Genomic DNA, 23,065 nt, shown 5'->3' on the forward strand with positions numbered 1-23,065 from the left:
AATCTGAAAAAAAAAAAAATCTGGTCCTATAGTGTTTCACTGATTTTTTTACTTTTTTTTTTTGAGACGGAGTCTCTGTCGCCCAGGCTGGAGTACAGTGGTGCGATCTCGGCTCACTGCAACCTCTGCCTCCCGGGTTCAATCACTTCTCCTGCCTCAGCCTCCCGAGTAGCTGGAACTACAGAGGTGCATGCCACCACACCCAGCTAATTTTTTAGTAGAGACAGGGTTTCACCGTGTTAGCCAGGATGGTCTGGAACTTCTGACCTCGTGATCCACCTGCCTCGGCCTCCCAAAGTACTGGGATTACAGGTGTGAGCCACTGCACACAGCCATTTAACTGATTTTTTAAAAGCTCCAAAATAATTACATTACAGAAAACTCATTTATATTCTTTACTACTGAAAGAACCAAAGGAACTTATACCAGACATATTTTATATACATCACATAAAATGTCCTTTAAATTAAAAAAAAGCTGCTCTATTTTTTTTAAAAATGAAGGCAAAAACAGAAGCATACACAAAAGATACCAGAAAACTGACAAGAATCTTGAGCACTGATGCACACAAAATGGCTCAGTAATTTTGAGTGATTGATGGATATGAAACCCCTTGAAAATGAAAAGGACTGTGGTTTAAGATGTTTTAGAATGATATGTTCAATAGAAGCCTGCAAAGGAGATGTTACAAAGCAGTTGAAAATCTAGCTTTTTCTTCTTTGCTGATCTCTGTACCCATTTTTCAAACTTACACACCCACATAAGTAAATCTAGTCAACTGGGAAATCTCAAATTTAAAGATTTTACATTTATGTTTATAAACTATACCTAAATTCGAATTTAATTTTTTTTAGGCAACTTAGAATCATAGCAGTATTCTAATGTTTAGAAAATGGCTTTCTGGATTATAATCATATTCTGGCTTATAACTAAAAGAAGCTAGTACTTTTAAATAATGAGAAAGCTAAAATTCATCCATTATTTTTTCACATCAGGTTCATATCACCAAAAGTTTTAATTAGTCCTTATGTATGTTACATTCACTTAAGTATTTGGAATAAAGGACAAAACAAACCAACTCATTAAATTATGTACTAGTTTGCTCTGGGTGGAATTATGCACCCCTCGACATCCAAATTCATATATTGAAGCCTTAACCGCAATGTGATGGTATTTGGAGATGGGCCATTTGAGAGAGAATTAGGTTTAAATTAAGTCATGAGGGTGGGGCCCTCATGATGTGATTAGGGACCTTTTAAGAAAAGGGAGAGAGCTTGACCCTCTTTCTGCCATGTGAGGACACCAAGAAGACAGCCATCTGCAAGCCAAGAAGAGAGCCCTCACCAGAACATAATCATGCTTTTGTTATGGCAGCCAAAGCTGGGTAAGCTGATTTTATATGAAAGAATAAATATGGGGGAGGGGGTGTATAACAAAATGAATGTGATCTTTCCAAATAAAACGCTGATCTTGTTTTGTTGAACAGTTTTTCAGAAACTCCTATAAGTTTATTATCCTTTGCTCTTTTATATAAAAATAGCCATAAAAAGTGGCTATTTTTCCCAAAAGGTTGCTTTATGCCAATTAGAACAAAGTCAGGATTTGCAAATACTTGTGCCTTACAGAAATTGGAATGCATAACGCATACCATGTAAACCTTACACTTCTACACAATTAACTGGAATAATTGGAAATGATTTAAACACTGAAATAATCTCCCGCAAAGAGTCATATTGCAAAGTCCAGTTTTGTCAAAATTTAACAAATTTAGTTCAGTAGTAAGAATGAAAGTAACTCTTTGGAAAACATGACTAAACTGTTTTTATACTGCATACTGGTATAGCTCCTACACTGTATTTCTTGCACAACCTTTTTCTGATAAGCATTTTTACTACAGCCCATAAAGGATACTTAATAAAACATGTAACATGTTTTCTGTTAAAAGATTTGAAAAACCTACAAGAATTCTCCTTGAAAAATGCACTAAAATCAGCTTATTAAAAAGTCTCCAGCCATTTCAAATTACTCTTGATTTAAAAAAAAAAAAAGGCGGTGGGGGGAGGGGAGGAGAGAAAGGTAGTCATTTTGAAAAAATCCACTCAGTGGAAAAGGAAAAAACACACCCAGATCTACATGTTGGTAACAAACGAGGGCCTTACGAATGGTTTTAACTGAAGTAGTTTTAACTCATTAGATGTTAAGGCTTAAAGGAATGTCTATTATTCCAGTAAAGAATTGAGACACGCTTCAACACAGCGATCACTGAAATGAGATGTTTTAAATTACAACTATTACACCATGAACTCAATGTAGAAAGGAATCGTTTCAAATTCAAGAAACGAGATAGAGAGATAGAGAGATAGAGAGAGACAGACAGAGAGAGAGAGAGAGAGAGAGAGAGAGAGAGAGAGAGAGACACACAGAGACATTCAGACAGACAGGGATACAGATCTGGAAGCAGACAGGCCAAATTTGTAACAGTGGATACTGCGAGGGGTGGGGAAGTTAGGAGCGCCCAAAAAGGAGGAAGGGCTTAAACAGGGGCTTTATTCAATCATGACCCATTAAAAACGATGTAAAGGCAGGATTCGCGATTGCACAGCAAAAATATAATAAATAGATGAGGAAGGGGAAAAAATCTCCAAATTCGCCGAAACTCAAAATCATTACACGCGGCCCCCTTTGTCCCACTCAGGCGCCCGCCCCGGTCGCGGAGGGGCCGTTTTGGGGAAGCCCCGCACCCGTCGGAACCGGGAACAAAGCCGCCCCGGCCGCAGGAGGGGTTCTCGGAGCTAGGGCCTGGCCTCGGAGGCGGGCGTGCGGCACACTCTCGCCGGGGCTGCGGCCCGCAGGCTCCCACCGCTGTCACCGCCGCCGGCGAGGAGAGTCTGGGGCTCCAGACAGCCGCCCGGTGAGCCCACCAAAGGCGCGCTCCTCCAGTGGCCGGGACACAGCAAGAAGGGGCTTGGCCGTCTGGCCGCCGCCAGGTGGACGCTGGCGGGCCACGGCCCCGGGCTTTTCCCGGGAAACCCCTCGGTGCAGCCCGACCGGCCCCGGATCCCCGCCGCCGCCGGCGGGCCCCAGGATCTGCCCACCGCTCGGCCTCCGGGAGCCCGGCGAGGCCCCCCTCCACAGACAACGGCCGCCAAGCCACTGCCGCCCGCCCGCGCGCCCGGCCCCCGGCACCCACCTGTTGGTCGCACTCGGGGCATGATTTGGTGGCCATCTTCACTTTCTTGGCTCGAGTTGCAGACATGCTCCTCTCCCTTAGCGGCGGCAGCAGCGACGGCTCGGGCTCCTCCCCTCACACTTCGGCAGCCCGGCCTCCGCCCGCCCAGTCCCCGCGGGCCTCAAACAAGCCTCTGGCGGGTGCGCGCGCGCGCGTGCGCGAGCTCGCGCGGGACCTGGGCGCCAAGGGGGCGGGGCGGAGCGTCGGCCGGCGGCTCCTGGGGACCGCGACACGCGCTCCCACGGCGGCTCGCGACCCACAGCCCGCCCGCGAGCTCGCCCAGAGTATCACGAGACGAGGGGAGACCTCCCCCCCCTCCGCCAGACCGCCCCGGCGCGGCAGTGGCCACGCCTCCTCTCGGCCTGGCCGACTACGAGGGGGCAAGGCCTGGGCGGGACTCGGCAGTAACGGGCGTCGAGTTCGACCAACGAATGCATAGGTAGGGCGGGCCGTAGTGCTGGGCACGCCCCATCCCCACAGAGACCGTGGGAGCGAAGGCTGGGGAATGAATGGTGAAGGGCGTAGCGTGGATCCTGGCATTTAATAAACTTAAGTAGATGTTACCAAGGCTAATCATTGAGAAATTATGATAGACATTTTATGAGACCACTGGACCCAGCAGCAGAGTGAAAATTCATTTATTTATTCAATATATAATTGCCTAAGTCCCACTGTCAGGAAAATTTGAATAAAATGCAGTGTCAGCCTTCAAGGAGCAGCCTAGCTGTGTAAACCAGTGCTACTCACTATCAAGATGAGGGATCAGATGTTTTTCTTTTTCCAATCTGTCCGTGACTGATACTTACTAAATTAACATTAAAATTAAATTATTCGAGGCTGGGCGCAATGGCTCACGCCTGTAATCCCAGCACTTTGGGAAGCCGAGGAGGGCGGATCTCTTGAGCCCAGGAGTTCCAGACCACCCTGGGCAACATAGCGAGACCCCCATCTCTACAAAAAGTAAAAGATTTTTAAAAATTAGCTGAGCGTGGTGGCCCATGCCTGGAGTCCTAGCTAGTAGAGAGGCTGAGGTGGGAGGATCGCTTGAGCCTATGAGATTGAGGCTTCAGTGAGCCGAGATTGTGGCCACTGCACTCCAGCCTGGGCGACAGAGCGAGACTCCGTCTCAAAAAAAAGAAAAAGAAAGAAAAAGTGAAATTTAAAAACAACTATGCAAAACGTAAGCTTACTTTTAAATATTTAATTTGACAGACCCAAAGTTATACTTAATAAACAATCAGAACAAACATAACAGAAAGAAAATTTACAAACTGTACACTTGGCTCAGAGAAAATTTACCAATATGCATTTATTACAGAGACTGGCTATTCCACTGATAACTTTTTATTCAACAATTGTTAACTAAAGCAAAGTTATGAGTTACAATTTTACATAGTAAATGCCTGTAAGCACACTTTGTATAAATAACAGTTATATAAATGTTTAAAGCTTTTAATATGAAACCCACGAAATTGCTTCCTGTTTGGTCCATTTACAGGCATACCTTGGAGGGACTGGGGGTTCAGTTCCAGGCCATTGCAAAAAAGAGAGCCACACTCAATTTTTTGTTGTTGTTTCCCAGTGTATATAATAAACATGTTTCCACTATACTGTAATATATTAAAAGTACAATAGCATTATGTCTAAAAAACAGTGTACACACGTTGATGTTAAAATTGGGCTAAAAATCCTGGGCAAAATGGTGAAACCCGTCTCCACAAAAAATTAAAAAATAGCCATGTGGTGACAGCGTATGCCTGTAGTCCCAGCTACTCAAGAGGTTGAGTTGGAGGATCCACTGAGCCCAGGAGGTCAAGGCTGCAGTGAACCATGATTGCGCCATTGCACTTCAGCCTGGGTGACAGAGAAAATCCCTGTCTCAAAAAAAAAAAAAAAAAAAAAAAGGAGTTAATCTTCACAAACCCTGCCACTGCTTTATCAACTAATATTTATGTAATATTCTAAATCCTTTGTTGCCATTCCACTATGTTCACAGAATCTTCCCCAGGAGATTCCATCTCAAAAAACCACTTTCTTTGCTCCTTCGTAAGAAGTAACTCCTCATCTGTTCAAGTTTTATCATGAGATTGCAACATTAATCCCAGCACTTTGGGAGGCTGAGACAGGAGGATTGCTTGAGCTCAAGAGTTCAAGACCAACCTGGGCAACATAGTGAAACCTCATCTTCACAAAAAAATACAAATCTTAGCTGGGCATGATGTGCACCTGTAGTTCCAGCTACTTGGGAGGCTGAGGTGGGAGGAATGCTTGAGCCCAGCAGGTCGAGGCTGTAGTGAACCACAATCGTGCCACTGCACTCCAGCCTGGACAACAGAGTGAGACCCTGCTGTGTGTCCCGCATTTGCAATTACATCCTCCACTGAAGTCTTGAACCCCTCAAAGTCATCCATGAGGATTGTAATCAACTCCTCCCAAGCTCCTGTTAATGTTTATATTTTGACTTGCTTCCATGAGTCATGAATGTTCTTAGTACTATCTAAAATGGTAAATCATTTCCAGAAGGTTTTCAATTGACTTTGCCCAGATCCATCAGAGGAATTGCTATCTATGGCAGCAATAGCCTTACAAAATGTATTTCTGAAATAATAAGACTTGAAAGTCGAAATTACTCCTTAATCCATAGGTTACAGAATGGATTAGCAGGCATGAAAATAACATTAATTTCTTAAACCTCCATCAGAGCCCTTAGGTAACCAGGTGCATTGTCAATGAGTAATAATATTTTGAAAAGAATCTTTTTTTCCAAGCAGTAGGTCTCAACAGGGGGCTTGAAATATTTAGTAGACCATGACAGATTTGCTGTCATCCAGACTTTGTTATTCCATTTATAGAGTATAGGGAGAGTAGGTTTAATATGTTCCTTAAGGGCCCTAGGATTTGGGGAATGGTATATGAGCACTGACTTCAACTTAAAGTCATCAGCTGCACTTGCCCCCTAACAAGACAGTGAGCCTCTCCATTGAAGGTTTGAAGCCAGGCCTTGATTGCCTTCTTCTCTCTAGCTATGAAAGTCTTAGGTAGCATATTCTTCCAGTAAAAGGCTGTTTTGCCTACAATGAAAATTTGTTCTTCAATGTAGAATTAGCTAGATCTTTTGGATAACTTGCTGCAGCTTCTACATCAGCACTTGCTTCCCACCTTGTACTTTTACATTATGGAAATGGCTTCTTTCTTTTTTTTCTTTTTCTTTTTTTTCTTTATGACGGAGTCTCGCTCTTTCACCCAGGCTGGAGTGAAGTGGCATGATCTCAGCTCACTGCAACCTCCACCCACCTCCCGGACGAGTTCAAGCAATTCTCCTGCCTCAGCCTCCCCAGTAGCTGGGATTACAGGCACCCACCACCATGCCTGGCTAATTTTTGTGTTTTTAGTAGAGATGGGGTTTCACCATATTGGCCAGGCTGGTCTCAAACTCCTGACCTCAGGTGATCTGCCCTCCTTGGCCTCCCAAAGTGCTAGGATTACAGGTGTGAGCCACTGCACCTGGCCGAGTTGCCTTCTTTCTTTAAACCTCAAGAACCAACCTCTGCTAGCTTCAAACTTTTCTCCTGTAGTCTTCTGTAGAATTGAAGAGAGTTAGGGACTTGATCTGGATTAGGCTTTGACTTAAGGGATTGTTGTGGCTATTATGATCTTTTATCCAGACTACTAAAACTTTCTTCATATCAGTAGTACTGCTGTTTTTCATTCTCATCATTTGCATGTTCACTGGAGTGGCACATTTAATTTCCTTCAAGACTTTTTCTTTGCATTCATAACTTGGTTAACTATTTAGCCCATAGTGTAATAGTTAAAATTTAAACTATCTTCAGTGGAAAAATGGATTTCAGATCTCTGATTTTTCTATGCAGGAATTTTCTTTTCAGGGAAAATAAACTTCCAACTGTTCTATCACATTTGTAAAATGTTTAATTATACCATTCACAGAGGTGCAATGTCAGGTTCATTGCCTTTTTAATAATTACTGTGAAAACATGGAACATATTATAATAATATGTAAAATCTCTGTTCTTTCAAGTTTCTAACTTAAATTTGCATCCCTCAATCATAATTACCAGGGAAAAATATGCTGCCTTCCTTACTTGCACTAAAATTTTAAGATCCAAAAATCCTGCACAGAATACTAGCAAACCATCTTCAGCACAGTTTAAAGGGATTATACATCATGATCAAGGAGGATTTATTTCTGTAATTCAGGAATGATTAAACATACAAAAATCGATCAATGTAATATACCACATTAATAGAATGAAAGGGAAAACGACATGACCTTTTTGAGACAGGGTCTCACTCTGTCACCCATGCTGGAGTGCAGTGGCTCGATCTCGGTTCACTGCAACCTCTGCCTCTCGGGCTCAAGTGATCCTCCTTCCTCAGACTCCCAAGTAGCTGGGATTACAGCTGTGCACTACCACGACCAGCTAATGACATGACTATTTTAATTGATGCAGAAAAAGCATTTGACAAAATTCAACACCCTTTCATAATAAAAACACTCAATAGCAGAAAACAAGTGTTGATATGGATATGGATATGGAGAAAATGCAACCCTTGTGAGAATGTAAAATGGTGCAGTTGTTGTGGAAATGCAGCCTGGAGGTTCCTAAAAAAAGTAAACATAGAATTACTATTTGAGGCCTGGTGTGGTGGCTCATGCCTGTAATCCCAACACTTTGGGAGGCTGAGGCGGGCGGATCACGAGGTCAGGAGATCGAGACCATCCCGGCTAAAACGGTGAAACCCCATCTCTACTAAAAATACAAAAAATTAGCCGGGCGTAGTGGCGGGCGTCTGTAGTCCCAGCTACTTGGGAGGCTGAGGCAGGAGAATGGCGTGAACCCGGGAGGCGGAGCTTGCAGTGAGCCGAGATCCCGCCACTGCACTCCAGCCTGGGCGACAGAGCGAGACTCTGTCTCAAAAAAAAAAAAAAAAAAAAAAAAGAAGCCTGGCCAACACGGTGAAACCCCGTCTCTACTAAAAATACAAAAATTAGCCAGGCATGGTGGCATATGCCTGTAATCCCAGCTACTTGGGAGGCTGAGGCATGAGAATCACTTTAACCGGGAGGCAGAGGTTGCAGTGAGCCAAGATCGTGCCACTGCACTCCAGCTTGGGTGACACAGCAAGACTCCATCTCAAAAAAAAAAAAAAAAAAGAATTACCATTTGATCTAGCAATTCCACTTCTAGGCATATACACAAAAGCATTGAAAGCCAATACTCAAGCAAATATTTGTATGCCAATGTTTGCAGCAGCATTATTCACAATAGCCAAAAGGTAGAAACAACCCAAATGCCCATTCACAGATGAGTGAATAAACAAAATATGTTACGTACAGTCATGCACCATATAACATCATTCCAGACTACACATTCGACAGTGGTCCCATGAGATTATAATACCATATTTTTACTGTATTTAGATACACAAATACCATTGTGTTACAATCACCTACAATATTTAATATAGTAACATGCTATGCAGGTTTGTAGCCTAGGAGCAATAGGCTACACCACATAGCCTAGGTGTATAGTAGGCCATACCATCCAGGCTTGTGTAAGTACACTCTACGATGCTCACACAATGATGAACTCACCTAATGACACCTTTCTCAGAACATTTCCCCATCGTTAAGTGACTCATGACTGTGCATACAACAAAATATTATTTAGCCATAAAAAGGAAATTCTGACACCACAACATGGATGAACCTCAAAGACAGGATGCTAAGTGAAATAATTCAGACACAAAATACCAAATATTGTATGATTCTACTTAGATGAGAGACCTAGCGTCATGAAATTCATAGAAACTGAAAGTAGAACAGTGGTTGTCAGGGCCTAGAGGAAGGAGGGAAGGGGACATTATTGTTTAATGGGTATGGAGTTTCAGTATGGGATGATGAAAATGTTCTGGCAATGGATGCTGGTGATGATTGCACAACAATGCCAACGTACTTAATGACACTAAACTATACATTTTTAAATGGCTAAAATGGTAAATTTTATGTTATGTATATTTTATCACAATCAAAAAGAAAAAATATTCAATCAACTAGGAATACAAGGAAACTTCCTCAACATGTTAAAGGCCATATATGAAAGACCCACAGCCAACATCATATTCAATAGTGAAAGGCTGAAAGCTTTTCCCTTAAGATCAGGAACAAGACAAGGTTGCCTGGTTTCACTTCTATTCCACATAGTATTAGAAGTTCTAGCCAGAGGAAATTAGGCAAGAAAAAGAAATCAGAGGCATCCAAATTAGAAAAGAAGTAGGCTGGGTGCAGTGGCTCACGCCTATAATCCCAACACTTTGGGAGGCCAAGGTGGGCAGGAGTTCAAGAACAGCCTAGCCAACATGGTGAAACTCCGTCTCTACTAAAAATACGAAAATTAGCCAGGTGTGGTGGCACATGCCTGTAATCCCAGCTACTCAGGAGGCTGAGGCAGGATAATCACTTGAACCTGGGAAACAGAGGTTGCAGTGAGCCGAGATCACACCATTGCACTCTAGCCTGGGTGACAGAGCAATGCTCAGTCTCAGGAAAAAAAAAAAAAGTAAAATATTAGGATCATTAAAATACTGAAGATATTAGAAAAATTAGCACATCTGATTGACCAATCCTTGTCTTTAAAAGTTGGCACTTGGCCAGGCACGGTGGCTCACACCTGTAATCCCAGCCCTTTAGGAGGCTGAGGCAGGCGGATCATGAGGTCAAGAGATCAAGACCAGCCTGGCCAACATGGTGAAACCCTGTCTCTACCAAAAATACAAAAATTAGCTGGGAATGGTGGCACGTGCCTGTAGTCCCATCTACTTGGGAGACTGAGGCAGGAGAATCGCTTAAACTTGGGAGACGGAGGTTGCAGTGAGCCAAGATCACGCCCCTGCACCCCAGCCTGGCGACAGAGCGAGATTCCATCTAAAAAAAAAAAAAAAAAAGTTGGCACTAAGCTGGGTACATGCTCATAATTCCAGCTACTCAGGAGGCTGAGGCAGGAGGATCGCTTGAGCCCAGGAGTTTCCGACCAGCCTGCACAATGCAGCGAGACCCCATTTCAGAAAAAAAAAAAAAAAAAGTTGATCTCTCAAAATTGTACTGGAAGTTCTGGCCAGGGCAGTTAGACAAGAAAATGAAATAAGGCATCTAGATTGAAAAGGAAGAAGCAAAACTATCTCTATTTGCAGATGACATTGTCTTATATGTAGAAAATCCTAAGAAGTCAACCTATTATTAGAATGAATAAATGAGTTCAGCAAAGTTGTAGGACACAATATATAAATATCAAATCTATTTCTATACACTTGGACTCAACAATATGATAATGAAATTAATTCCATTTATAATATCATCAAAAAGAATAAAATACTTAGGAGTAAAACAAAAACGTGTAAAACTTATACTCTGAAAACTACAAGACACTGTTGAAAGGAATTAAAGGTCTAAATACATGAAAAGATATCCTGGCTGGGTGTGGTGGCTCACGCCTGTAATCCCAGCACTTTGGGAGGCTAAGGTGGGCAGACTGCTTGAGCCCAGAAGGTTGAGACCAGCCTGGGCAACATAGCTAGACTCTGTCTCTAGTTTTGTTTTGTTTTGTTTTTTTAATGTATTAAAAAAATAAGATATCCCATGTTCCTGGATTGGAGGTCTTAATATTAAAATGGCAATATTCCCCAAATTGATCTGCTGATGAACACAATCCCTATAAAAATCCAGCTGGTTTCTCTGCAGAAATTGACAAAACGATCCTAAAATTCATATAGAAATTACAGGGACTCTGAATTTTTTCCCCAAACAAGCTTGAAAAAGAATAATGAAACAATCTTGAAAAAGAAGAGCAAACCTGAAAGACTCACACTTCCAGATTTTAAACCTAAAAACCTACATAACAAGCAAGTGCAATACTAGCAGAAGGATAGACATACAGATCAGTGGAATAGAGTTGAGTGTCCAGAAACAAACCGCATGCATGGAGGAAGGCAGCCTCTGATCTCCTGGCCAGACTGACTTCACTCACATACCCAATATCTTGGCAGACTGGAATCAACTGGGCTCCTCTCCCTCTCCACATAGACTTAGAGCCTTGCCGTATGGTCTCTCCTTTTACACAGTCAAACCTCTTATGTGGCAGTTTAGGGCTCTAATAACAAGTATTCCAGAGACCAAGGTGGAAGCTGCAAGGCTTTTATGGGCTCAGAAGTCATGGAGAATCGGCCAGGTGTGGTGGCTCACACCTGTAATCCCAGCACTTCGGGAGGCCGGGAGGCTGAGACCAGCCTGGCCAACATGGCAAAACCCCGTCTTTACTAAAAATACAAAAAATTAACCAGGCATGGTGGTGCGTGCCTGTAATCCCAGCTACTTGGGAGGCTGAGGCAGGAGAATTGCTTGAACTCAGGAGGTGGAGGTTGCAGTGAGCCAAGATCACACCACTGCACTTCAGCCTGGGCAACAAGAGCAAAACTCCACCTCAAAAAAAAAAAAAGTCATGGAGAATTGCTCCCACTGAGTTCTATTAGTAACACAGGGTTAGGCCATATTCACTGGCCTGGTGGAAGAGAGCTACACAAAGACATGCAGTTGATTCTTGTTATTTGCAGTAGTTATGTTCTAGAAAGTCACTGCAAACACCGAATTAGCAAATTCTGACCATTGCTCCCAGGGAATATGCAGGATTCGTTTCCTGCAAGCCTCTGGTCACGTTTTTCTCAAGAGATTAATCCAGAACCTTAGTCTATGTGTACTTCTGTTTAAAAACACGATAGTTAATACATATTGTTCATTCATTAACATTGAACTCATGGCCAGCAGCACAACAATTTGTGCCTGAAGCTTCTCCAACACATGTATTTTTTCTGTAAAGCACATCAGACTTCTCGCACTTTGGAACACGAGGCAGCACTTCAGCATTGTGCTTGGAGGGGTTTTTTGTTTGTTTTTGAAATGGAGTCTTGCTCTTGTTCCCCAGGCTGGAGTGCAACGGTGCCATCTCTGCTCACTGCAACCTCCGCCTCTGGGGTTATCGCGATTACTTGGAGGCCATTTTAAACAGCAAAATCACTAACAACACCCCCCCACCCAAAGTGTCACTAAATAGACCACAAAATGGGACGTTTGTTTACAGTATGAGAGCCAAAACAAGAAGCAAAGCGTCGACTTTGACCACTGCTGGGAATGGGAGTGTCAGTCAACTCAATGTTTTTACTACTCTGAACATGTCCACGAATGACCGCAAAAGCACTTCAAGTATTGATTTTGGGATTACAAATAAATTTTAGTGAGTAGGCTAATTTGCAAATACAGCATCCATGAATAACGATTCATAAATAATAAAGATATCAGGACTTGCTACAAGCTACTATGGCATGCAATAACAATTGTTTATGATCACCTTCCATATTATCACCTAACAAAAAGAATAATCTCAAATTTAATGCATTCACTTTTACATAATTCACAATTTTTACTATATGCCTAACTGCACTGTTTATTTCAGCTGACTTTTTTTTCATAGCATGACTTTCTTAAGGAAAGAATCATTGTTTTCACTCTCATTTTGATCTTTGCTCCTTAAACTGGCTACCTACTCCAGGGTATTTTTTTGTTGCAGCTCTGCCATCCAACGTACTTCTCCACAGTTCTAAAGCTCCACACCACATTTGTTGACAATATCAGAGCTAGCTGTGTTTGTGACCAAAGAAGCAGGAAAACAATTTTTTTCTTTGTATCACCTTCATGTTCAAAATGCACATCTTAGCAATATCTCAGCATGTATTATGTTGCAATGAAAAATACTTTGCTAGCTTCCATTTTTCTATTATTATTATTATTTTTTTTTTTTTTTGAGACGAAATCTTGCTCTGTCACCCAGGCTGGAGTGCAGCGGCACAATCTCGGCTCACTACAACCTCTGCCTCCTGGGTTCAAGCGATTCTCTTGCCTCAGCCTCTGGAGTAGCTGGGACTACAGGCGTGCACCACCAGGCCCGGCTAATTTTTTTGATTTTTTAGTAGAGATGGGATTTCACCATGTTGGCCAGGCTGGTTTCGAACTCCTGACTTTAAGTGATCCGCCCGCCTCGGCCTCCCAAAGTTCTAGGATTACAGGCTTGAGCCACCACGACCAGCCCTTGTTCTATTATTCTTGCCATAGATTCACACAATATTGTGTGACCGGAGGATCACTTGAACCCAGGAGGTTGAGGCCGCAGTGAGCTGTGGTTGTGCCACTGCACTCCAGCCTGGGTGACAGAGCGAGAGCCTGTCCCCCTCTCCCAGCCCCACTCCCCACCAAAAAAAGAGAGACTGAGGTTGCAATTACTTTCATGACCAAGTCTCAAAAGTCACAAACCATCATATGTGCTATATTCTATTTATTAGAAGTAACTCAAGTCTGGCCCACATTCCAAGTAAATATCTTTGTCATCTTATGGTTTTATTTATTTATTTTATTTTATTTTATTTTATTTTTTATTTTGAGATGAAGTTTCACTCTTATTGCCCAGGCTAGAGTGCAGTGGTGCAATCTTGGCTCACTGTAACCTCCTTCTCCGGGTTCAAGCGATTCTCCTATCTCAACCTCCTGAGTAGCTGGGATTATAGGTGCCTGCCACCACGCCTGGCTAATTGTTGTATTTTTAGTAGAGACGGGGTTTCACCATGTTGGCCAGGCTGGTCTCGAACTTCTGACCTCAGGTGATCCACCCGCCTCGGCCTCCCAAAGTGTTGGGATTACAGGTGTGAGCCACCTCGCCCAGCCTATCTTATGGTTTTAGTGCACCTTTATAAGAAGCCAAAAAGCAGTAATGTTTATGTGGGAAGTATTGAATGTCTGCTTCTGCTGGCTTTAACAGTAGCTTTATAGAGATATAATTCACATACCACTTAAAGTGTGCAATTCAGTTTTTAGTATATTCACAGATGTTATGTAACTATCACCACAATTTAATTCCCAGATATTGTCATCCCTACAAAATGAAACCTTATACCCAATAGCAGCCACTTCCCATTCTCTGTTCTCAGCCCCTGACAACCACTAATCTATTAATACTTTCTGTCTCTTTGGATCTGCCTATTTTGGTCATTTCCTATAAATGGAATTCTACAGTATATTCCTTTTGTGTTTGGTTTCTTTCATTTAGCATAATGTTTTCAAGGTTTACTATGTTATAGCATCTATCAGTACTTGATTCCTTTTTATGGCTGAATAATATTCCATTGTATGGATATACCACATTTTATTATCCATTCATCAGTTGATGTACATTTGGATTGTTTCTACTTTTTTTTTTTTTAGGCCAAAATTCTAGTTTATTTCAGCGTCAGCAATATCTTACCATTAAAAAAAAAAAATGCTAGCAAGGTGACGGAAGTCTCTACAGCGAGGCTAAGGGCTTGCCAGGTGGCCGACATCAGGGGTGCATGGCAGGCACTGGCCGGGCGATAAGTTAGGAAGCAGCAAGGGCTGGTGGTGGGTGCGGGCTGGGCAAGCATTAGGCCATAGGTGGCCTGGCCCTGGTGATGCCACTGCTCCATCTCAATGAGCAGCTTTATGACGCCCACCCGCATCTGCACCAGCACCACCTCTGAGAAGCCCCGGAGGTCAGCGTTGGAGACGTCAAAGACCCCACCCACCGCGGCCACGTCCACACCGTCTGTCCCTCACTTCTGAAGTCACAGCCTCTTTTTTTTTTTCCTTTTCTTGAGACGGAGTCTCTCTCTGTCGCCAGGCTGGAGTGCAGTGGCACTATCTCGGCTCACTGCAACCTCCGCCTCCTGGGTTCAAGCTATTCTTCTGCCTCAGCCTCTGGTGTAGCTGGGAGTACAGGCGCGTGCCACCACGCCCAGCTAATTTTTGTGTTTTTAGTAGAGATGGAGTTTCACCATGTTGGCCAGGATCGTCTTGATCTCTTAACCTCGTGATCTGCCCGCCTCGGCCTCCCAAAGTTTTGAGATTACAGGCGTGAGCCACCACGCCTGACTGTTTTTTGTTTTTTGTTTTTGAGACGGAGTTACGCTCTGGTCGCCCAGGATGGAATACAATGGCGCGATCTCCAGTCACCACAACCTCCACCTCCCAGGTTCAAGCCGTTCTTCTGCCTCAGCCTCCCGAGTAGCTGGGATTACAGGCATGTGCCACCATGCCCAGCTAATTTTTGGTATCTTTAGTAGAGATAGGGGTTTCTCCACGTTGGTCAGGTTGGTCTCGAACTCCTGACCTCAGGTGATCCGCCTGCCTCAGCCTCCCAAAGTGCTGGGATTACAGGCGTGAGCCACCGCGCCCAGCCACAGACTCTTTTTTTTTTTTTTTTGAGACTGAATCTCGCACTATCGCCCAGGCTGGAGTGTAGTGGCGTGATCTTGGCTCACTGCAACCTCTGCCTCCCAGGTTCAAGCGATTCTCGTGTCTCACCCTCCCAAGTAGCTGGGATTACAGGCATCCACCACCACGCCCGGCTAATTTTTGTATTTTTAGTACAGACGGTGGTTTCACCATGTTGGCCAGGCTGGTCTCGAACTCCTTGACCTCAAGTGATCCGCCCGCCTTGGCCTCCCAAAGTGCTGGGATTACAGGCATGAGCCACCGCGCCCAGCCTGAAGCCACAGCCTCTTAAGCACCTCCGAGAACTCGTGCTTGCCCAGGTGGGGCAGCCTGATGTGCACACTTGCCCCTGCAGCCCTGTGCCCAGGTTGGGAGGGCAGGTGAGGATGGAGCCCAGGTGAGGATTCCACATGAACTCGTCGTTCCTAGACTTGAAGAGTTTCAAACCGGGAGAGGCCGAGGCAGAAGCAGTAAATGCCTCCTTCGTTTGCCCCCCTGTTGCACGGAGATGGCCCGCAGGTGGTCCTCGTCGCCGCCCCACACCAGGAAGGTCTATACTGTCCTTGTGCCAGATGCCGCGGGCGTTGGGCCATGCCCGAGGCCAGGAGCAGGGGCGGTACAGGCTCGTGGAAGAGGAAGTGGCTGTCGAGGAGCTGCTGTTGCTGTTCCGCGTCGGTCCTGCTCCTGCGCGCGTCGTCCAGGCCCGCCAGGTCGCCGACCAGTCTCTAGGGCGTCCATCGCGGGACCCACGGGAGGCAGAAGTGGAGGCCGTGCGCACCGCGAGCTCAACACAGTTGGGGGCCAGGTGGCCGCCTCCCAGCAGGTTGTCGGGGTTGAGCTGGGTCTTGTGCTCATCGCTGGGCTTGTAGTGCGGTGCCGGTCCTCAAGGATGGGGCCGAAGAGATCCTTGAACACGTCGTAGGACTCCTCGTCGGCCGCCACGCGGCCCACGGCCCTGAGTACGGGTGGCCCGGGCTGTCCACGCGGGTCTGGATGGCGCCTCCAGCGCGAAGCCACCCCTGGCGCGCAGCTCCGCGTTCAGCTGGGGCAGCGCCTCGGCCACTGGGTCTTGGTGGCCGCTCAGGTCGGGAAACTCGTCCTGCGCCGGGAGGCGAGCTTCAGCGCCCCGCGGCTGTCGGAGAAGGGCATGTGCGGGCGCTCGGTGGGTCCGCAGCTCTGAGCGTGGCCACTTTTTAACTGTTATAAATAATTCTGCTATCAACATTCATATGTACACTTTTCTTATGAGCATATTCTTAGTATTGAAATTGTGGGATCATATGGTAACACTATGTTTTTGTTTTTGTTTTTTTCCAGACTGGAGTGCAGTGGCCCTATCTCGGCTCACTGCAAACTACCCCTCCCGGGTTCAAGCGATTCTCCTGCCTCAGCCTCTCGAGTAGCTGGGATTACAGGAGCCCGCCACAACACCCGGCTAATGTTTGTGTTATTTTGGCAGAGACGAAGTTTTACCATGTTTGTCAGGCTAGTCACTGACCTCAAGTGATCCACCCGCCTCGGCCTAACAAAGTGCTGGGATTACAGGCGTGAGCCACCCAGGTTCTATGTTTAAATTTGTAAAGAACTGCCTGTTTTCCAAAGGAGCTGCCCTATGTTTCTGTTTTCTCTATAGCAATCTTTGTTTTAAAATATTATTTTGGTTTTGAATTTATTTCTTTGGGTTTTTTTTTTCTTTTTGAGACGGAGTCTGGCTCTGTCACCCAGACTGGAGTGCAGTGGCGCAATCCCGGCTCACTGCAAGCTCCGCCTCCCGGGTTCAAGCCATTCTCCTGCCTCAGCCTCCCGAGTAGCTGGGACTACAGGCACCCGCCACCACACCCGGCTAATTTCTGTATTTTTAGTAGAGACAGGGTTTCGCCATGTTAGCCAGGCTGGTCTCGAACTCCTGACCTTAGGTGATCCACCCGCCTTGGCCTCCCAAAGTGCTGGGATTACAGACATGAGCCACCGCGCCCGGCCCTGAGCTCTTGGCTGTACCTTTTGGCTTTCTCGAAAAAACAAAAATGTGGCCAGGCACGGTGGCTCATGCCTGTAATCCCAGCACTTTGGGAGACCGAGGTGGGCAGATTGAGCTCAGGAGCTCAAGACCAGCCTGAGCAACGTGAGGAAATCCCGTCTCAACAAAAATTAGCCAGGCATGATGGCACACACCTGTAGTCCCAGCTACTCAGGAGGCTGAAGTGGGAGAATCGCCTGAGCCAGGGAGGTCGAGGCTACAGTGAGCTGTGACTGTGCCACGGCACTCCAGCCTTGATGACAGAGTGAGACCCTGTCTTAATCAAAACAACACAACAACAAAATACTGAAAAAAAAACAAAAATGATAAAGTTTGTTTTGCCACACTTGGGTGAAAAATAAATGAAACAAATTTTAATTCCTTAATTTAGCTAATGAGATTAAACCATATACACATATTTTAAAGGCCTAATTAAAAAAATTAAATGATTATTAGGAGCATCTTAATTCGGTGGTTCTGGCCCAGAGTCTCTCAGAAGGGAGTTGTAATCGCGCTGTTGGCCAGGGCTGAGCATCTGAAGGCTTGACAGGAACTAGGGGATGTGCTTCCAAGATGGCGCCAGCCCCTGGCTATTGGCAAGTGGCCTCATCCCTTGCCTCATGGACCTATCTATAGGGATGCCATAATGTCCTTGTGACATGTCAGCTGACTTCCCTGCCAACTGAAGTGATTCAAGAGAGAGGCCCACTTTGGGAGGCCCAGGAAGGTGGATCGTTTCAGTCCAGGAGTTGAAGACCACCCTGGGCAACACAGTGAAAACCTTTCTCTGCAAAAAAAAAAAAAAAAAAAGAAAAGAAAAGACAAGAAAAATTAGCTGGGCATGGTAGGGCATGCCTGTAGCCCCAGCTACTTGCGAGGCTGAGACAGGAGGATCACTTGAACCTGGGAGGTTGAGGCTGCAGTGAGATGTGATCGTGCCACTCACTCCAGCCTGGGTGACAGAGCAAGAGCCTGTCCCAGTCCGCAGGCCCCCCCAACCAAACAACAACAACAAAAAGGCTGAGAGTAAGGTTGCAATACTTTCATAACCAAGTCTCAAAAGTCACAAACCATCATGTCTGCTATATTCTATTTATTAGAAGTGAGTCAACAAGTTCGGTCCACATTGAAGGAAAGGAGAAAATTAAACTCCACTTTTTTTTTTTTTTTTTTTTTTGAGACGGAGTCTTGCTCTTTCGCCCAGGCTGGAGTGCAATGGCACGGTCTCAGCTCACTGCAACCTCTGCCTCACAGGTTCAAGTGATTCTCCTGTCTCAACCTCCTGAGTAACTGGGATTACAGGTGCCTGCCACCACACCTGGATAATTATTGTATTTTTAGTAGAGACGGGGTTTCACCATGTTGGCCAGGCTGGTCTCGAACTCTTGACCTCAGGTGATCCACACCCCCCCCCGCCCCCGCCCCACGGCCTCTGGGATTACAGGCGTGAGCCGCCATGCCCGGCTTTTTTTTTTTTTTTTTTTTTGAGACTGGATTTCACTCTGTTGCCATGGCTGGAGTGCAGTGACATGATCTCAGCTCACTGCAGCCTTAATCTCCCAGGCTCAAGTGATCCTCCCACCTCAGCCCCCGCCCCAACCCCATCCCTCCAGCTGAGACCACAGGCCCGAGACACCATGCCCAGCTGATTTTTGTTTTTTGTTTGGTTGGCTGGGTTTTGGTAGAGATGGGCTCTCGCCATGTTGCCCAGACTGGTCTCGAACTCAAGCTCAAGCAATCCACGTGCCTAAGCCTCCCAAAGTGCTGGGATTACAGGCGCGTGGTTTAAACTACACTTCTTAAAGGGAGACACGTCAAAGAATGTGTGGACATCTTTTAAAACCACTACACTGGCTGAGGTCAGGTGGCCTCAGTTACTTAGAGCGTGGGCTTCCCCATAGGACTGCTTAAGTATCCTTTTAACATAGCAACTGTTCTTCTACAGGGCACATTTTCCATCAGAGAACGGGAGGGAATCCACAACATCTTTTATAACTGAACTTCAAAACTCACACTCTGTCATTTTTGCAATATCCTATTAGTTACACAGGTCACCCCAGTCAGTGTGGGAGGGGACTAAATAAGGGCATGTATCCCAGGAAGTAGGGATCGTCTTGGATGCCGGCTTTCATGGGTACTCAAATGAAACAATAATTCCATCAGTGCATGCTGGGGAGAGGTCCATAGAGGAAGTGACAGAGAGATGGGCCTTTGGGGTCCCACTGACCTGGAGAAAAATGAGAAGGATCTGTGTAGGTCATCTGTCCTTGACCTGAAGACAGAAAGAAAGAACCAGGTTGGGTGCCAAAGAGTCCACTTTTCACTGGTTTTTGATCCTGTTTCTAACTTTGCTCAAGATCTTTCATGCTTGCTATTAAAGTGACTGCAGGTGCTTCTAATCTCACACTATGCAATTAGACCTAGCAGGAGGTTCTTTAATAATAAGTACTTGATGAATGAACCAAAATGGATATTCAAAGCCACTTTTTGTTCTCTCTTGTAATTAGGACCTGAGCTTCCCCCAGAGATTGGGAGAAATGAGATGTAGCCTCCACCTCTACACCTGTCACTGTTAACATTCAGGACACAAAGCCCCTATCAATGAGCCTTTTAAGGCTTTTACATTTTTAGTGGGAGGAGAGGAACAGTAGGAGCCTTAGCAATCTTTAAAATATAAACATAACCACTTATCTTACAAAATAGATCCTAGGCCGGGTGTGGTGGCTCACACCTGTAATCCCAGCACTTTGGGAGGCCGAGGCAGGTGGATCACCTGAGGTCAGGAGTTTGAGACCAGCCTGGCCAACATGGTGAAACCCCGTCTCTACTAAAAATACAAAAATTAGCCAGGCATGCTGGTGCATGCCTGTAATCCCAGCTACTCGGGAGGCTGAGGCAGGAGAATCACTTGAACCTGGGAGGCAGAGGTTGCAGTGAGCCGAGATTGCGCCACTGCATGCCAGCCTGGGCGACAGAGCAAGACTCCATCTCAAAAAAAAAAAAGAAAAAGAAAATAGATCCTGAGTTATAAATTATATAAATTAGAGGGGTTTGTGTTCTTTCTTGTTTGTTTTTTCACCAGAAGCTTTGGGAATCATCACAATGCTACAAATGTGGTCATCGCTTGTTTATTCTTTTAATTTTTTTTCTACAAATTTTATATATTTGCACAAAGGAATCATCTTTAAATAACAACAGTAACAAAAATGAATACAAATAATTGTCCAGCTGGGAGCAGTGGGCTCACATCTGTAATCCTAACAGTTTGTGAGGCCAAGGCAGGAGAATTGCTTGAGCCCAGGAATTTGAGACCAGCCTGGGAAACATAATGAGACTTTGTCTCTACAAAATATAATAAAATTAGTCGGGCATGCACATCGAGGCTGCAGTGAGCTATGATCATGCCACTGCACTCCATTCTGGGCAACAGAGCAAGACTTCATCTCGAAAAAAAATAAAATAAATAAATAAATAAATAAATAAATAAATAAATAAATAAAACAAAACCCCCAAAACTGTCCAGATGAAGATAAAGAGTATGAGAAGCCTTATTTTTGGCTAGAAAGAGTGCTTTTCTTCTCCTCCTACAGAGCTAATAACACACTGGGTGGGCACATTCATTGTTGAAAAGCCACAGGCTCAAAGCAGCTCAGGAGGCAGCCTCCTTTGTAGCTGGGTAACTCTAGACAGCCCAAGCCAGCCACCACCCTCGCTGAGCACTGAACTCAGCCTGCTGCCTGCCCTGGGCACAGAGGAGTCTCCAGGAGTCCCACACCTTGCTTTGCCTCCTTTGCTTTTCCCTTTCATGCTATTTACTATTTATTGGGCATCTACTTTGCAGCTTGTCCTTTATATTACTTGTCGTTCTTTCTCTCAAACCCTGCAAAGTGGAATCATGAGCCCCATCTTACAGTTAAGGAACATGAAACTCAGAGAGTATATAAATCAGGAATCAGAAATTTTGTGAAATAAAAACTCAACTCAAAATGGCTTAAGCAAAAAGAGTATTTCCTGGCTCACATAACCAAAAGAGCCAAGAATCTGATGGGCTTCAGGCACAGCTGGATCTATGCACTCATGTGAGCCATCAGGGCCCCATTTCTCTCTCTGCCCCTTGTTTCTGTACCCCTTGCAGGTAGGGTCTTCCTTATTGGTGTTGGAGGGATGGCTGGAATAGCCAAATACACTACATTTCATTAAGTGTGGCAGCCATGAAAATGCTCCACTTGGATTTCTTTTCAAAAATAACTTGCAGGCTGGTATGGTGACTCACACCTTTCATCCCAGCACTTTGGGAGGCTGAGGAGGAAGAATCACTTTGTTACTGGAAGGGGGTCCTGATCAAGACCCCAATAGAAGGTTCTTGGATCTCACGCAAGAAAGAATTCAGAGCAAGTCTATAAGGTAAAAGCAAGTTTATTAGGAAAGTAAAGGAATAAAAGAATGGCTACTCCATAGGCAAAGCAGCCCCGAGGGCTGCTGGTTGCCCATTTTTATGGTTATTTATTGATTATATACTAAGCAAGGAGTGGATTATTCATGCCTCCCACTTTTAGACCATATAGGGTGGCTTCCTGATGTTGCCATGGCATTTGTAAACTGTCATGGCACTGGTGGGAGTGTAGCAGTGAAGATGACCAGAGGTCACTCTGGTGGCTATCTCAGTTTTGGTGGGTTTTAGCCGGCTTCTTTACTGCAACCTGTTTTATCAGCAAGGTCCTTATGACCTGTATCTTGTGCTGACCTCCTATTCCATCCTGTGACTTAGAATGCCTTACCATCTGGGAATGCAGCCCAGTAGGTTTCAGCCTTATTTTACTGAGCCCCTATTCAAGATGGAGTTGCTCCAGTTCAAACGGCTCTGACAACTTGATGCCAGGAGTTTGAGAAGAGCCTGAACAACATAGCAAGATGCCATCCCTGTAAAAAAAAAAAAATAATGAGCAGGCATGATGTTGCACACCTATAATCCCACCTACTTGGGAGGCTGAGGCAGGAGGATCACTTGAGCCTGGGAGTTTGAGGCTGCAGTGAGCTGTTTGTGCCACTGCACCTGAGCCTATGCAACAGAGAAAGACCCTGTCTCAAAAAACAAAACAAAACCAAAAACACAAACACTTGCCATTCAGCTGCAAGGAGCGTAGTTAGTTACCAGCCTCCAGCTGTACCACCTTTAGGATTCATGCCTGGCTCAGTCAGCCACCAGCCAATGACCAGACATAGCAAAGTGTACCAGGGCCTGGTCATTTTTGCCTAATGCATGACTGTTGTAATAGGTAATCTTTGCTCCAGAGCTCGGCAGATAATGTAAGATCTGATTGTGTTCTGAGCCTCTCCCTGCCCAACCCTACTTCCTCCTCCTTTATCCTTCACAGCTCTTGCCCTTTCCCCCAAACACACCTCTGATACTTCAAACTCCATCTCTGCATCTTCCTTCCAGACACACTACACCTCACTGGTCCCCCATCCC

At 45.1% G+C, this 23,065-nt stretch overlaps 1 protein-coding gene and 1 pseudogene across 7 annotated transcripts in view, besides 4 other annotated features; both read right to left on the minus strand.

The window, feature by feature from the left end:
• C16orf87 (chromosome 16 open reading frame 87) overlaps nucleotides 1-3,287 on the minus strand; it is a 34,578-nt gene extending 31,291 nt beyond the window's left edge. For 4 of the 7 annotated variants that reach the window (NR_145834.2, NM_001348660.2, NM_001348661.2 and 1 more), the window contains exon 1: nucleotides 3,191-3,287. Coding sequence is in view for 3 of the 7 variants with exons in the window: in NM_001348660.2 (NP_001335589.1) it covers nucleotides 3,191-3,256 (66 nt within the window). In the remaining 4 variants the exon portion in view is untranslated. Of the gene's footprint in view, nucleotides 1-2,741; nucleotides 3,156-3,190 lie in introns of those variants that run through there. The other 3 variants (NR_145836.2, NR_145835.2, NR_145837.2) reach the window with 2 other exon arrangements.
• Nucleotides 2,984-3,633: a silencer, noted in NCBI's record as "silent region_7435". NCBI's record gives its function as "represses an Ori minimal core promoter by ATAC-STARR-seq in GM12878 lymphoblastoid cells {active_cell/tissue: GM12878}" and the evidence as "EXISTENCE:reporter gene assay evidence [ECO:0000049][PMID:35858748]".
• Nucleotides 11,990-12,190: a silencer, noted in NCBI's record as "peak2574 fragment used in MPRA reporter construct". NCBI's record gives its function as "represses an SCP1 promoter by STARR-seq MPRAs in K562 erythroleukemia cells {active_cell/tissue: K562}" and the evidence as "EXISTENCE:reporter gene assay evidence [ECO:0000049][PMID:32103011]".
• Nucleotides 15,838-16,761, minus strand: CKBP1 (creatine kinase B pseudogene 1; annotated as a pseudogene).
• Nucleotides 15,916-16,441: an enhancer, noted in NCBI's record as "H3K27ac-H3K4me1 hESC enhancer chr16:46877721-46878246 (GRCh37/hg19 assembly coordinates)". NCBI's record gives its function as "activates a minimal SCP1, AML or CMV promoter by ChIP-STARR-seq in primed H9 embryonic stem cells {active_cell/tissue: H9 hESC(primed)}" and the evidence as "EXISTENCE:reporter gene assay evidence [ECO:0000049][PMID:30033119]".
• Nucleotides 16,442-16,965: an enhancer, noted in NCBI's record as "H3K27ac-H3K4me1 hESC enhancer chr16:46878247-46878770 (GRCh37/hg19 assembly coordinates)". NCBI's record gives its function as "activates a minimal SCP1, AML or CMV promoter by ChIP-STARR-seq in primed H9 embryonic stem cells {active_cell/tissue: H9 hESC(primed)}" and the evidence as "EXISTENCE:reporter gene assay evidence [ECO:0000049][PMID:30033119]".

The sequence above is a fragment of the Homo sapiens genome, chromosome 16 (genome assembly GCF_000001405.40).
Source record: "Homo sapiens chromosome 16, GRCh38.p14 Primary Assembly".
Taxonomy (NCBI): domain Eukaryota; kingdom Metazoa; phylum Chordata; class Mammalia; order Primates; family Hominidae; genus Homo; species Homo sapiens.